Source organism: Homo sapiens, chromosome 6, assembly GCF_000001405.40.
Source record: "Homo sapiens chromosome 6, GRCh38.p14 Primary Assembly".
In the NCBI taxonomy this organism is placed as follows: domain Eukaryota; kingdom Metazoa; phylum Chordata; class Mammalia; order Primates; family Hominidae; genus Homo; species Homo sapiens.
The window spans coordinates 163660971-163661584 of NC_000006.12; the positions used below are offsets into that span (position 1 = coordinate 163660971).

Here is a 614-nt window from a genome sequence, read left to right on the forward strand (position 1 = left end):
TTTTGCCCCAGGCTTCTGTGTTCTTCCCATCTTCTCTTTCTCTCAATATAATAGTGGCCCCTTGAGGGTGTCTGAAAAAATGGGCTTGGGTGGAAGGCAACACTTGTATTCTGATTTTTGCCTGCTGGGCTGGCTTCCCTGATCTACCCAAGAACTCTTCAGGAGAGGTAACTGAGACAGGATTGGGGTCAGGCTTTTCTTTGCTGAGGCTCTCCCTCTTTAGAGCCACCCTGCTATCACTGCTTCATCTTGGGTCACAGAACCATTTGGCATTTTTCAACCCTGCAAAGCTGCCAATGCCCAGACTCTTAGCCAGCAGAGACTGCAGGCTGCAGAGGAGAAAGCTCACTTACCAGGGTTGCATTTCCTTCCATCTCTGTTTCATTTCCTCTCTCTCGCAGGCTTTTCTGAAAGGAGCAATGAGCAGACAACACATCTCAGCAGGACACAGTGTGGTGAGGCCAGGTTCATTGCCCCAGTGATGGGAAGGGCTTGGAAGGCAGGGCAGTGGGCCCCTGAAGGGGAGGCTGCATCATCCCACTGGCAGCTCCTGAACTTCTGTGTAGGAGGGGTTATGGGTAGGAAGACACTAGGGCACTTGTCTTGTGACTGTG

The 614-nt window shown here is 51.6% G+C and overlaps 1 annotated feature.

Moving 5' to 3' along the window:
• Positions 475-614: an enhancer, noted in NCBI's record as "active region_25420". NCBI's record gives its function as "activates an Ori minimal core promoter by ATAC-STARR-seq in GM12878 lymphoblastoid cells {active_cell/tissue: GM12878}" and the evidence as "EXISTENCE:reporter gene assay evidence [ECO:0000049][PMID:35858748]".